Source organism: Homo sapiens, chromosome 1, assembly GCF_000001405.40.
Source record: "Homo sapiens chromosome 1, GRCh38.p14 Primary Assembly".
NCBI classification, from domain to species: domain Eukaryota; kingdom Metazoa; phylum Chordata; class Mammalia; order Primates; family Hominidae; genus Homo; species Homo sapiens.
In genome coordinates this window covers 219,292,618-219,308,728 of record NC_000001.11, presented here as the reverse complement: position 1 = coordinate 219,308,728, position 16,111 = coordinate 219,292,618, and the positions used below count along the sequence as shown (strand labels likewise).

General features: G+C 38.8%; 1 protein-coding gene across 16 annotated transcripts in view; it reads right to left on the bottom strand.

Moving 5' to 3' along the window:
* Positions 1-16,111, bottom strand: part of LYPLAL1 (lysophospholipase like 1) — a 271,619-nt gene that overhangs the window by 136,768 nt on the left and 118,740 nt on the right. For 4 of the 16 annotated variants that reach the window (XR_007078557.1, XR_007078564.1, XR_007078559.1 and 1 more), the window contains one exon: positions 13,578-14,668. The exons of 5 other annotated variants lie outside the window; for them this stretch is intronic. The gene's annotated coding sequence lies outside the window, so the exon portion shown is untranslated. Of the gene's footprint in view, positions 1-8,205; positions 11,606-12,639; positions 14,669-16,111 lie in introns of those variants that run through there. 7 more of the 16 variants (XR_007078555.1, XR_007078568.1, XR_007078567.1 and 4 more) reach the window with 6 other exon arrangements.

The window sequence follows — 16,111 nt, the reverse complement described above, 5'->3', positions numbered from 1 at the left end:
TCTAGGCAAAGGTTCCCAAAACCCAATTCTTGACTTCTGTTCACCTGCAGGCTCAAAATCATGTGGAAGCTGCCATGGCTTGAGGCTTGCACCCTCTGAAGCCTCAAACCGAGCTCTACGTTGGCGCCTTCCAGCCATGGCTGGAGCAGCTGAGACACAGGGCACCAAGTCCCTAGACTGCACACAGCATGGGGGCCCTCGGCCCTGCCAACAAGACCATTATTTCCTCCTAGACCTCTGGGTCTGTGATGGGAGAGGCTGTTGCAAAGGTCTCTGACATGCTCTGAGACATTTTTCCCATTATCTTGGGGATTAAAATTCAGCTCCTCATTACTTATGCAAATATCTGGAGCCAGCTTGAATTTCTTCTCATAAAATGGGATTTTCTTTTCTATCACATTGTCAGGCTGCAAATTTTCCAAACTTTTATATTATGCTTCCCTTTTAAAACTGAATGCCTTTAACAGCACCCAAGTCACCTCTTGAATGCTTTGCTGCTTAGAAATTTCTTCCACTAGATACCCTAAATCATCTCTCTCAAGTTCAAAGTTCCATAAATCTCTAGGGCAGGGGCCAAATGCCACCAGTCTCTTCATTAAACATAACAAGAATCACCTTTGCTCCAGTTCACAACAAGTTCCTCATATCCATCTGAGACCACCTCAGCCTGGATTTCATTGTCCATATCATTATCAGTATTTTTGTCAAAGCCATTCAACAAGTCTCTAGGAAGTTCCAAACTTTCTCACATTTTCCTGTCTGATTTCATGCTGCTGATAAAGACATACCCAAGACTGGGAAGAAAAAAGGTTTAATTGGACTTACAGTTCCATATGGCTGGGGAGCCTCAGAATCATTGTGGGAGGTGAAAGGCACTTCTTACATGGCGGCGGCAAGAAAAAATAAGGAGGAAGCAAAAGCAGAAACCGCTGATAAAACCATCAGATCTCATGAGACTTGTTCACTACCATGAGAAGAGTATGGGGAAAACTGCCTCCATGATTCAAACTATCTCCCATTGTGTCCCTCCCACAACACTTGGGGATTATAGGAGTACAATTCAGGATGAGATTTGGGTGGGGACACAGAGCCAAACCATATCAAATATTAACAATGAAATCAGATGTTATTGACATGTATCTTGTCCTCTAATGTTCTCAACTTTGCTCTAATTCTAATGATGCTGCTTATTAATTAGGCAATTTCAGCCATCAACAACTAAGGTTACAAAATAGCCACACTACCCATATCTCAGTGGCTTAACAAAATGCAAATTTATTTTTTGGTCCTATAAAATCCAAAATGAGTATTCCTAATCAGCTCTCTTCTAGTTGATGCAGGGACTTGGGTTTGGAAGAAACCATCTCACATTCCACCATCTTCAATTCATGGCTAATGTCACCACTGAACAGAAAAGAGTGTGAAATCTTGTGTGGGAGATCGTTATAAGCCACACCTAAAAGGGGTATATGTGAAGACTCAGTCACAAGCAAGACAGTCGGGAAACGCAGTCAAGCTGCATTCTAAGTAGAAAGAAGAAATGAATTTGTGACCAGCTAGTTTTCTCTGCCACATACTTCCATTGCTCAAGAGCTATTTGGAATTCCCATTTTAAAGTTACTTTCAAAGTCAGTTTATGATCCTATAAGAAAAATAAGGGATGAGATGATTATATATATATATATACATATATATATATATATATGTATGTGTATATATATCATTTGGAATACATGTGGCCAAAAATTGTATTACCAGCTTATCAACTAATGTATTCATTGAGTTTGGCCTCTGCATCAATAAGGGTTTTCCGGAGAAACAGGACCAATAGGAGATTTACTTTCTATCTCTATCTATCTGTCTGTCTGTCTGTCTGTCTATCTATCTATCTATCTATCTATCTATCTATCTATCTATATCTATCTATGCATCTGTCTATGTATCTATCTATCTATCTATCTATCTATCTATCTATCTATCTATCTATGCATCTGTCTGTCTACCTACCTACCTATATATCTTAAGGATTTGGCTCACATAATTATGGAGGATGACAAGCCCCAATATCTACATAAGCAAGCTGAAGACCTAGGAGAGGTGATGGTGTAACTCCAGTCCAAGTCTAATAGGCTGGAGACCCAGGAAGAGCCAGTGCTTTCCTTCAAGTCCAAAGGAAAAAAATATAAAAAACTTATGTCCCATGTTGATATGCAGAAGGAATTCTTTCTTACTAGACTTTATGTTCTATTAAGGTCTTCAACTAATTGGATGACACCCACCCAAATTAGGGATGGCAGTGTGCTTTACTCATTCTACTGATTCAAATGTTAATCTCATCCAGAAACTCACTCACAGACACACTAGAATAATCATAAACCAAATACCTGGGCTCCCTGTGGCTCAGTCATATTGACACAAAATTAACCATCAGAGCTCCCAATAACCTTTGGTTACTTATAAAATTTATTGTTTACAAGTTACATATCTGACAGCATTAGGAAACCAGAGAATGCAATGCATTTGTTGAAGACAATTTCCAAAGAGATTTTCCAAAAGTATTTTGGACTTGGCCTCTCAAAGTCTACACTCAAGAAGATACCATTCATATGTATATATTTATATGTTCTGTATGATTGATGTGAACTAAATTACATGTATGGAGTTCATTGTCTGTTAGAAAACGCTAGTAGTAGCTGAGACTTTCAGAGTGTCAAAGATAAGATTACTTTTCATGTAACCTGAGATAACCTGGACAAATGAAATATCTTTAATCTGGAAATGGGAGAATACTGTCAACATTCCTGGGTTAAATCATAAAATACCGCATAAACAAAATGGAAGTATTGTAGTTCAGAGTTGATAGTGATGATGAAGCTGGTGGTGTTGGAAGAAAGAGGTTGTTTTGCCAAGGACATATATGGATCCTCATTTCCCCTCCAATTTTAGATTTCTCTCAGCAGAGGAATCAGCCTTGTATTTCTTTCATATTCTCACAGCACCTGGTACAGCACCCAACACAGAGTAAGTGGTCAACAAATTTCTGTTTGTAAACGATAGGGTTTTCAACAGATACCCAATGCCCTGAATATCACTTTCTGCCATTGTGCCATTATCCTGTTCAATCAAGTTGCGTGCATCAGTTTAAGACATGCACTGTTATTTCAGTGTTTTACATCAGCCATTATAGGCTTCACAATAATTTTATGGAGTCCTTGGAAGTATCATCCAATTTTGTGACCCCAAAACATCCTTTATAGATAAATGAATAGTCTTGAGGGGGAGGCATCTTCGGCTGTTTTTTTCTTCAGTATGTCTCTTTTCTAACTTCTGCATAACTTTCCATCCAGGCTAAAGACTTATGAAAACAGCACCTTATATGCTTCCTACACCAATTACAGAGTACTCTACACCCTGAAAGAAAGGGAGTATATTTGTGTCTAGAGCTCCTGATGGGTTAACTACCCATGTTACATGTCATATCTCATCACCTGGCATTCCAGATAGTCTAACATTTTTCTTTTGTGATCTCTCCTTATAAGGCTTGTACCTTTCATCTCCACACTGTAAATTCTGGTCCTTCCCATTCCTAATTTCTTGAGCCACAGTCCATGTAAGAACAGACTGTGGTCCCCTCAGTGACATGGCACAACTTAGCCTAGTAGGTTGAGGGATATGCCGAACCAGTGAGTAATGTCTGGGAACTCTTTGGCTGACGTCCTCCTGTGCAAGGACAAATTTGCATTCTCACAAGTTCTCAGAATGTTTCTCCTTTAGGAACAATATCTGACACTGGAATTTTTGAAACCTGCAGTACTGTGTCAAGCCAAGCCTCTTTGCCGATAGGAAAAATGAAAGCCAATTTTGTTCTTCATTCCTGCGACTCGTTTATTGTGCTATGACCTTGTGTAGACTAGCCTTTAATTCCCTCAGAGATCTGTGTAGACGACTTGGCATCTCAATATGTGTTTTCATGGCAATCTAGGGTCTGGTGCCTTTCCTACCCTCCACAGCCACCATTTAGTGATCACTCCTTGGACTTCTGCCTCACTTACTTTCACTACACAATTTAGAACTTAATTATACACGACTTTATATTTTTGGACTCTTGTTTCCCAGTCTTCACTGCTAATTTGTTAAAGGAATGGATTATATTTTATGCCTCTTCTGAATCCCACCCAAAGCACCTAGCATCCTGCTCTAAGTAATCTAAGAGTCACTCACTAAATAGATGCCATGACGATGAAATCATACGAATGGCTTTTGATGACATACCAGATCTTACACATTCAAATGAATGCTTTCCTTGGCAAGACTGCCACCTGGCAGGCTACCCACATATGCCAGTGATGTTATCAATGCTCAAAATAATTTTTCAGTGACTCTGTCTGCTTGAATTAAACTGAGCATCTTGGATAATTATTTAATATTTGTTATTTAGCATCTACTATAAATGCATGGCACTGTTTTTAGTGGGTACCACAAATATATTAAGATATGATTTCCTGGTCTCAGACCTTTTGCAGTTTTATGTATAGGGTCAGAAAAGGTTGTGACAGCAATTTTACAAGGTAAAATCTGGCAAATATCATATGGGAGGTATAAAGGATTATAGGGATCAGAGAGAGAGAAGGTAATTTACAGCTGAGCCTAAAGGGGACATACATCTTCAATCTTTATGTTTGTAAATCATTGTAAATATTTATTAGATAATTGTTTTGGTCTTAAGCAACAACTAAAAACTATTTAGAACTAGTTAGGGAATAAGTTATGTAAATAATTGGGTAATACTGTTAAAAATTGCAATGGAGCAATAAATCATATCCCTAGGTTGGAAACTTGTTTTGAAGGGAACTGTTTCTTCAAACAGAAAAACATAGTAGCCACCCGAGCCAATCAGGTATCATAAGATACCTATGATGTCATTCACACCTGTCTGCCATCTAATTTTTGACCATTCATCTCCATGTGCCATTTGTATTTGTTTCCTCATTTGTAAAAGTAAAGAACATAAGCCAGACCAAAGGTTTTCAGCGGAATTATGAAAACATCCAGGAGTTATGGGCTTCCCTATGAGATTTCACTTGAATAAATATATGGCAATAAAATAGTATTTGAGAATTGCTAGACTTCATCACTGTTGAGTTCTCTCACAGCTCACATGTTCTATGATCTGCACATAGTAGATGAGCTCCAACCACCAGTAACACTGGGTGACAAGAAACAACCAATTGCCTGCTGCAGATCATCTGCTCCATGGCCAAAATGTCTTGGGGATTCCCAAGCCCCAGGCACAACCCTGCTTATCTGTCACTAGCTCTCCTGTCACCTGGTTTTATTTCCCTCAGAGTAGTCATGACTCTTAAATTATTTATTAATCTACATTTGTATTGTTTTTATTACCCACTAGACTATAAGATAATCCATGAAAGCAAAAAACTTGTCTATTTAGTTTATAGCTATGTCTTGAGTAACTAGATCAGTGCCTGGAACATTGTAAACATCCAATACATTGTTGTTGAAAACAAACGCACAAATAAATAAATGAATTGATTGATTAATTATTAATATTTCATGATTTAAGATTCAAGGGAAGACCTAGGGAAGATAATAAAATATAAAAATCAATTCAATAAAGAGATAGTGGAGCATTTTCTATACTTCTGGAAATGTGTGAGGTACTGAGAATACAGAGTGAATAGACCTATTTTTGGTGAGCTCATAGTCTATTTTGTGAAACAAAGCAGGAATGCAGGGAGGACTGTATACAGGAGAATAATAATAAAACATGACAGCATATCAAGAAAGATCTCAAAGATCCCACCAACGAGTGGTGAATGGCTAATGCATGTAATGCATTAGGCATTTAGAGGAAGCAGAGGAATTCCTGTGAGCTGGAATGACCTAGAAGATCTTCAAAGAGGAGAAAAACATCAAGAATAGAAGGATGTGAAAAAGTGGGCATCCCAGACAAAGATTGGAGGTGAAAAAGGGAAAGGGACAATCTGACTGGAGAGAAAAGAAACTAACTCTTAATGAGAACCTAAGGTGTGCCCCACACTAGGCAATGTATGTTTGGATACCTTTCTCATGTGTCCTCCACACGTTCCTGCAAGGTGAAAAATATTATGTTTATTCCATAAATGAAAAAAAATTGAGACTCAGAGAGATATGGAAACTTGCCTAGATTCACAACCTCTCTGTAGTGATGAAGCCAGGATTTGCACCCAGATCAGTTTCATTCTGAGGACCGTGCTCCTCCTACACCTCACCAACATAAGGAGCTTCTGGGCTGTGGAAAGCAGGGGTGGAGAGGGGAATAGTGAAAAATAAGGCTGAAATTAACTTACTGTTAGAATATGCTCAGGGCCTGGAGTGGTATTCTATACTATAAGACCAGTGAAGGTAATGAAAATACTTGCCCAGAAGAGTGACTCTTGGAAAATACTAATTTAGGCAATGTAATCTGAATGGATGGAGAGAGATAGAAGCAAGATCAGTTAACAGTTATTGAAGCACCTCTGAGCTGAGGTAAGTACAAATGAAGTAGAAAGAAATAAGTATAATAGATGGACCTACATTTAAGAATTGTAGAATAATAGGATCATCACAGGGAGAAAGTCAGGAAGCATGTGCACCCTTAACACTGCTGGCAATGCTGCCTTGCTATGCACACCCCTTTTTGCTTGTTCCAGAAGTTCCTTTTTCTAATTAGAGCCCCTACCCCCAGTTCTCTCTCTCTCTCTCTTTTTCATTCTGTCTTTTCTTTGTTTTTGCTTATCTGTATCATGTATTTTTTAAAAAATTCAAAACAAATATGAACTATTGTAAAATCAAAAAGGAATTTGAGAAGGGAGAATTAGTTACTGGCCACTTTTTGCAAGTGATAAAAAAGAGAGGCATTTAAAATATATCAGGTATCAAAAATGAGAAAAAGAATTAAAATGTACATTTAAAAATAACTGTTAGTTAAAAATAGGAGAGTATAGAAGAGCTTTTCAGAGTTGTAAAATTTTTAAAGAATCTTATTGAATAGGGTTATGTTATATTTTCTGGGGGGCAATTGAGTAACTGAAGTTAAGATACACATTTATTTATAAATTAGAAATAAAAGCACTTGTCTTTTTCCATGTCTCAGAAACACTACAAGATTAAGAGGTATAATGCAAATAAAATTACTTTGGATTTTTTTGTGGTTTATTGAAAAATATTTTACAATAAAAGCATGGTCTAAATAGAATTGCAAATAAACTTACATTTTTCCCATGCTCTATAATCACAAATTCCTTTTATTCTAGTACAATTTTTCTTCTATATAGTTCTTATTTCTAGATAGCTTGAAATTTGGAAAGCCCAATTATGCTCCCTCACATGTTTATATGTCAGACATGAGCTTCACCATTCTGTACCATAATTACGTCTTTTTGTACCTGTTTTCTTAGATTACTGTGAATACCTTGGGGAAAAGTATGTGTTTATTTATTTTGTATCTCTTTTGCCTTGAATAAATAGGATGCTCAACCAATAAGCTTAATGAGTAGATTTATGTAATGTAATTCATGCTGTGGAATTTTACTGCTGAAGAATAAATAATGTTGAATCGTTATTGAAAAGACAACCCATTTTGATTTCATGTATGCCAACCAGTAAAATATGAATATTCTTTTTTTTTTTTAGAGGTGGAGTCTTGCTATGTTGTCCAGGCTGGTCTCGAATTCCTGGGCTTAAGTGATCCTGTCATCTAGGCCTCCTGAGTAGCTGGGACTGCAGGTGCATGCCACCACTACTGAAAATATAAATATTCTTGAAAAGAGGAAGCAAACTTTGAAATATCTAAAAGATAATTTCCATCACTGGCTAATTCTGAACTCTCAGGACATTAGGAAATGTTAGGATAGGCCGGGCACGGTGGCTCACTCCTGTAATCCCAGCACTTAGGGAGGCCGAGACAGGCGGATCCCGAGGTCAGGAGATTGAGACCATCTTGGCTAACACAGTGAAACCCCGTCTCTACTAAAAATACAAAAAAATTAGCCAGGCATGGTGGCAGGTGCCTGTAGTCCCAGCTACTCAGGAGGCTGAGGCAGGAGAATGGCGTGAACCCAGGAGGCAGAGCTTGCAGTGAGCCCAGAATGCGCCACTGCACTCCAGCCTGGGCGACAGAGCGAGACTCCATCTCAAAAAAAAAAAAAAAAAAAAAAGTTAGGATAAAGAATCTCATAGGTTCACAAAGCGTCCCCCCTTTTTTCCCTCTTTTATAAATCTCTTTTCCACCTGTTCATGGGCCATAAGTAAAAATTTTTAAAAATTGACAGGAAAGATAAATTCTATTTAAAAATAACCATTATTTTCACAAGACAATCATGCTTCTTCATGTAAATGCCCCAAAAGATAATAATTTAACCATACTTTTCCTTATGATTGTATTTGTATACAAATACTGAATATAGGCCAGGCACAGTGGCTCACACCTGTATCCCATCACTTTGGGAGGCCGAGGTGGGAGGATCCCTTGAGCCAAGGAGTTTGAGACCAGCCTGGGGAACATAGATATACCTTGTCCCTGCAAAAACTAAACATATTAGGTGGGCATAGTGGCACTTGCCTGTAGACCCTGCTACTCAAGAGGCTGAGGTGGGATGGGAAGATAGCCTGAGCCCAGGAGACTATGGGTGCAGTTAGCTGTGATTGTACCACTGCACTCCAACCTGGGTGACAGAGCGAGACTCTGTCTCAAATATATATATTTCAGCAAGCCTATAACAGTGTTTGCTCACCCTGGTAGGTTGAGTCCCACATTGGCTGCTTCCGACTGGTTATCTGAGGAAACACTTCATACATACCTATGTGTGTGTGCATATATATGTACAACCAAAAAAATCAGCTTCAAGAAAAAACTAGTCAGCTTCAAGTAAGTGAAAATTTTAGGGCAAGTGGTAGGTAGTGATAACATTTTCCCTTCAGGCCATTCTGAACCATTGATATATTTTGCACATGTGGCTCCAGTCTTCATGTTTTCCCATCTAAACTTAGGCCAGCTCATGAAAGGGCAACACTCTACAGTGGGAAGAGAACCAACTTTACAGTCAGACATTCCTGGACTCGAGTTGCTGCCGCTCCACTATTTAAAAGTTGCAAGTCCTTGGACAAATCACTTCACCTTTCTGATTTGAACTTTCCCCATCTGTCCAATGGGGATGACTCAACACCACCCCGTTACCTATTAGGCTCTCGGTAAACACCAGTATTCATGCTCTCACTTCCTCCACACCTAAACCTCTTCCAAAAAAACACAGATATCTCTTTGAGTCTGTTATTTCATATGATACCTTCTTTTTTTAAACTTTCCCGTGGTTTCCAAAACCAAATGTATGTGATAATACATAGTACATATTACTACTATGTAATAACCGGTAACAGTGTTTGCTCGCCCTGGTAGGTTGAGTCCCACATTGGCTGCTTCCAATTGGTTATCTGTGGAAACACTTTATCCTTTTATAAGGGTGAATCTAGAGTGCACTGAGTAATGCATAATAAAATTAGTTTTGGGGGTAAGGAACCAAGTTTAAAAGACAAAAAAAAAAAAAAAAAGCTGGGGGAGGGCAGATAAGCACAGTAAAATAATCTCCAATGACTTCATTGTGAAGTAATGACTTTTACCAAATAACTGCATTGTAGTTTTATCTTTCCAACCAAGATTGTGTTAATGCTCTAAAATTAAGTCTCTTGTGAAAGTTATCTGGAATTTCTCAACGAGTTTTTAAAGGGGTTTTATTTTTTCATTGGAGGTCATGCCTCAAGAATTTGTAGGAATTCCGCCTGGAAAGTAATAATCAGTGGAAACTGGCAGTCAAAGCTAATTTATATTACTCTTCCAGATAAAAATTCCTTCCGTCTTAGACCTGCATTTCAAAAAAGATTATTATCACTCTGGAGAGAATACATCAGTGTAGAAAAAAGAAAGAATGACCTCAAGGATGTCTTCACTGCCTCTGTGCAACTCCAGGTCTGCTTCTTTTTAAACCTCCTTTTAAAAATCCTCTCTTTTGAAATGTTTTGAGGATATTCAAAGCCAGGAGATGTGTCAGAGGCCTGCCTGGCGAGAACTCTCAAAATGATGTTCCCTAATTTGCCTGTTGTGGGAGTTCATGAGACATCTTGGGTGGTGGGAAAAAGACAGAACTAGGAAATATGGGGGAGAGAGAGGTTCAGTAACTGCCCTAAGAGGAAGAAGGTGGTTTTCATATATTCTCATTCCCTTAGTGGCTAGAGGGATTGGCTATGCTCAAATCAGAGCCTCAGCGCCTCCTTTAGTGGTCGTGTTTTCATATGCATAACACATTTGTGAGGTTCCATGCTTAATGAAGAAGCCTTGGCTTTTAAAATGAAAGACCTAAATGTATTTTATTTTATTTTATTTTTGAGACAGGGTCTTACTCCAGCACCGAGGCTGGAGTGTAGTGGCTGTATCTCGGCTCACTGCAGCCTTGACCTCCCAGGTTCAGGTGATTCTCCCACCTCAGCCTCTCAAGTAGCTGGGACTACAGGTGCACACCACCATGCCTGACAAATTTTTATGTTTTTAGTAGAGATGAGGTTTCGCCATGTTACCCACGCTGGTCTCAAACTCTTGGGCTCAAGGAATCCACCCCACTTAGCCTCCCAAAATGCTGGGATTACAGGCATGAGCCACCCATTCAGGCCAGTAGATCTAAATTTAAATTTCAAGTTCTCCAATTACTAGTTCCTTCATTTACAAGTTACTTAACCTCTCTGAGTCTCTATCTATAAAATGGGTTTTATAGAATTGTTAAGGGGAGTAAGGTAGTTGTTCTGTGTAAAACATGCAGCTCAGTGTTTGAATGACTAAAGGTTTGTTGTGTTAGTGTTTTACCAACTAAAAGTTTGTTGGTAAAACAAATGAATAAATACATGTTAGTTCCTTCTACCCTCTTTATCGCTTCCAGAGAATCTGGGAAATGTCAACTCCAATGTAAATAACTTGCAGTCTGTTCAAGGATCCAACCAATGAAGTACAAATGCACTAGTACTCTCTTTAGTAATTTTGAAAATGTTTTTGAATCAATACCAATAAAAATCCACAAAAGAGATATGCCAAATGATGATTTGTATGACTAAATCAGACATTCAGAAGCCTTACCCATTTCTCAAGACTAAGAGCCTATACCTAAGTGGCTAAGAATAACTTTTCAGAACCACTTTTTATTCACAGGATTTCAATCTGAGACACTGCCCAAAACAGACACAGCATCAAAACCAAATGGCCTGCCTTTGTTTTTAAATCATCTGAGATACGTGTAGTGGGTCAGACTCACCAAACTTCCAGCATTCAACAGAGCAAAACTGAACAGAGGAAGTATTCTATTTACTAAGAATTCAATCAGTCTTATTGAAATATTTAAAAGTTGGACCAAAATGTACAAGCATCATAAATACAGTTTGTACAATTCCAAAAAGCATCTATCTGGGACAAAGCCATTGTTAATCCTATGTGTTTTTGTCAGTGGGTAGGTAATTCTTTAACAGTAGAAACAGAAGACAGATTTGCTTCCAATTGTGAGCTCATTCCTAAGGTCGCAACTGAAAGCTGAAAGAGAAACAGAGTCCAAAATAAACATCAGTTTGGACTATAAAGAATTTCTCTCTGAGGGTGCCCAGGTTTATATGAAGGAATTCCACCTCAAACAAGGAGAAATCTAACTCACTTTTCCCAGTTATTAGCGGGCACGTCTAGTGTCTGCCTGTTCACATTGATCCATTCCTCAACCTCAAATCCATTTTCCAAAGACCCTGGCTTAAGAACCACATGGACCCAGAGTTCTTCTGATTCGTTGCACTTTAGTTGCTTAGAGGGGTAAAAAAATAGTTATAAACTATCTGTAGGAACAGTCCCTAACATGGTTGGCCAGAAAAGCTCAGTAAGAGAGCCAAAAAGTTTAATTTGTTGTAACCTATGATTTCTTAGTAAATATTAACTAATGTTGGAAGTATGCATGGATTTACTTCCCTAGGCTGTTTGAACCTTTTAAATCATAATTTTTTTAAACAAAAAATTTAAGCAAGACCTTAAAAAAGTGACTCATAAAAGAAGGGTGTTTTGTTAGCTTCCCTCGCCTGCCTCCCAGCTACCCGTCTTCAGGGTGATGTTTTTCTTTCATGAGCTTGTCCCCTCCACTTATGTGCCTGGTTGATGGATAATTCCCTCTGCAGGTGTCTCAAAGACCCTGAGTACCCTTTTGGTTGAATGCCCAAACAAACTAACCACTGTTCACAGAGGTACTCACCTTCCTTACCCTTTGTCTCAGTCATGACTAACTGGATGCCCAGCCATATTAGGATTGAAGATTTAACCGTTTATTCAGGTGCAGAACCCCAGAGGCCCTGCACAGAGTGACAGCTGGAACATAACCCAGAAACCTACATATCCCCTAGCCATCAAAGGCATCTTCCTGGCCCAGCACGCAGAAGCTCGGTGGATCTAGAAATAACTGTTTATATGGGCTGGATTTTCAGAAGTTATTATTTCTTTATGATTGATTCATTTATGTGTCCATATATTGCCAAAATGTCAGATGCTATGTTCTTCTACTCCATGGGCAGAGAACTTTAAAATTTAGAAAATTTTCACCATGTATGCATTAATTTATTATTTATCAGATATTGATTTAACACCAACTATGTGCCAATGAGAGAAATGAGGGAAAAGGCACACTTAGAAAAAGCAATTTTAAAGACAAGAAAGGCTACATAATATATTGCAGGAAATGAGTAGGTCAATGTGGCTGGAGCTTAGCATTCATTGGAGAAGGTGGAAGGGGCCAGAAGGCTGGGGGATTTAGCGGAAGGTGCTGAGAAGGCCCATTGCAAAGACCTTCTGAATGCCAAAGTGAGGATTTTGGATTTGATTCTGTAAGCAAAAGAGAAATTTAAAAACCATATGATCAGATTTGTGATGAGCAACAATGATGGTGTTAGTTGTAGTTTGGTGGGTAGCTGGAGTAGGGGACAGAACAATGGCAAATAAACTAGTAGAAAGGCTCTGGCAATCTGAAAACTCTTAAAGAAAGCAGTGAAGAGAAGTTGAAGAGAAGGGGACATTAGGGAAATTAAGGGAGATAAGTCAACATGACCTCATGGCACACCTCTTTCAGAACAGACATTTTCTGCTAACAAATATTGCTTAAAATAAAAGGTCTCAAAGCTGGGAAATGGGAATCTCTTTTCAATACTGAATTTATAAAAATAGCCCGAAAATTTGTCTTATATCTCTCTTTACTAATTCATGACTTCAGAGCTAAACCCAAAAAATAGCAAATCAAGACAAATTTACAATGACAAAATTTCCTTGTATGGGAGGAGGTGGGTGGTATGAAGATGAAAATGATACAATCTCTTCCCTTAGAGACTTCATAACCCAGCTCCATGGTTCTCAATGGTTGTGTGTTGTGAACAATTGTGATGTGAGTCATAATTAGATTTTTAAAATGACAACAGAAGGCAGCATATGTAGGTTTTTAGTAGCAGTGATGATAAGGGCATAGGCAAGTTAAGAAACTTACCTGCAATCTGTAAGTGGGAGAGCCAGGGTGAACTCACTAAGTCTGTAGTGGATGCTGTGGAGTGCTGCCCAGAGCTGCTTTCAGGACCAAAGAGGGCACTCAATTTTCTCAGGAGCAAAGAAAGAGTGTTGACTGCTCATAACTCCTGGTGCCTCCAGGAATTGCCATTGGCTGAAAGAAGCTGCCTCACCCAAGGTTCAGACTAGAGATTGAGGTGAGATACAATTCCCTTAATTGGAAAACTCTGGAAAGGTCATCCCAGCTCTACACCCAGAAGGATTCATTGAAGCCTCTGTGGCAACTTCATTGCAGTTCAACTTCCCTCTCTGGACAATATTGCTTCTTTTCTTCCTCCAAAGATGTTAATTCCAAGAGCACTTTCTAATAAACCTATTATGTGCTAATTTCCATCCAGAGTCTGTGCCTCAGGAACCTGAGCTGTGGGAAGGCTTGAGGTCAATGCATGTGTACTTAGCTATTAAGCCATATGGTAGAACAGTCATCACAAAGAGTTTGAGCCAGACCTGAAGGAAGAGTAGATTTTGAAAGAACAAAATTTGGTGCTTAGGCCACAAGAAATAATGGGGAAATGAATATTTGGGGAGCAATGACTAGATGAGTCAGTCTGGCAAAAGCAAAGGATTCAAATCATTACCAGAGATAAGTAAGGGAGCAGCTCAAGTTGCTCTTGGATGCCACAGTTGGGAGCTTCTGTCTTGCTCTGTGTTCTCCATGAAAAACAGAAGACTGAGTCAGAAGAAAATGCATCAGGCATCTGTGGAGAGGATGGAATGGAAAGTTGAGGAGGAGGGCAGATGTGAGTGACATTTTATGTTAAACATCCACAAGGATCCTTGACTAATTGAGTAAGGGAAGCCAAGGAAAGATAGAAGTCATACAGATTTGAAAGCTTTGACAAAGGCAGGCATCCTTCCAGAGAGATGTTATTTGTTTGCCCTCTCAGGAGCATCTTCAGGATAGATTGAGTTCAAGGACATCTCTCTTCTATCAAATGGTTATTACAATTCTCCTCTTCCGTGAAATGTTACTTAATCAACTTTCTCCAGCAAATTTTCCATTTCAATGGTAGCCTAAAGGAGAAGACAGTGGGAAAATAGTCAAATGGCTTTGGAGATAATCTGCAATTTGGATGTTTCCCCAGGAATTAGTGCCATAGACCACACAGGTCTATGCTGGACATGTGACACATGGGGACTGAATAAGCTTGGGGGACAAGGCAGAGAAAACGTAAGTCCTGTAATGGATGTTTTTATTGTCTTTCCAAGGGCATCCTTTCTCTTCCTTAAACTTGAGGTTCTGATTAACCTCAGATGCCATATTGGAAACACAAGCTACTTCAATACACATTAATTCTATTCTGGATATATTGTGTATTAAGATACCTAAGCTATTTTTTAATATACGCACATGTCTAGTGGCTCAGTCATAATCAGATACTAATCACTTGATGAAATCAGTAGGAAAGACATTACACAAAAATGCTGTTTCGTGTTTTGTAATCAGCCTTCCAAAGACAAATTCTTGCTGGCTTTCAGCCATAGGAAACAAGATGTTTAATTTCAATGTGAATTTCTTGATTCCGTATTTAAATAAACAACAAATTGTGACAGATGAGAAAAACAATGTCTCCAGTGATATGATTGCACTAAATTGCCAAGTTGGGGGAGGGGAGAGAGCTGGGGGGAGAGAGACTATATTTTTAACTCTAAGCCAGGGATACAAAAACTAAAATTATAAATTTGGGGAATGGGATTATTTCTTTCTAATATATTTTACATAATATCATAATCAACCTATTTTTTTGGGGGGAAATACCCTATATTCCTTCCCATTTCTACTATCTCTCTCACCCTTTTTATTTTTATTTTTTTCAGCTCTGTATGGTTTGCGGAGACCAGAAATGTCAAAACTCTGTGGAGAACAGCTGTTCTCATTTCTGGCTCATCTGCTAAGGAAGTGCTCAGAATCTCCTCAAAAGGCTCCTGCAAGCTATCCCATCCCAGATGTAAACTCGGAGACTGATTTTGTAGTCTTTGAAAGAATTGATCAGACGCAGTAGAACTGGTTTCCTTACCACTGAATCTACTATGTGAAAATTATTTGGAGGCCACAGCTAAAAGGTTGCAGAGCTCTCCAAAAGTCCCCAAGCAGTGAATCCACTAGTATATTAACAAGACATCGACAACACATGCCTTTGGGTGGGAGCAGAGGTAATTGCTGTTGGTAAGAATGGATGTCTCCTATCCCAGGAAGCCTCCTCTGAAGCCCCATCTGCCAGGCTAGTTCAATAGCTCTTCTATGGGTACACAGGAAGCCTTGCCTCTCTATCTCAACACACCATAAAACACATATTTTTATAATAACCTTCTTACGTGATTAGAAACAGAGGGCCTACCTTACTTGACATTGTACCCCTGTGTAGTGCACAGTATGTAGTACATCTAAAGTGTTCAGTGAATATCCTAAAGATGAAATCAGTTTTTAAATCAGCTGGATGTAGCTACAAGACTAGA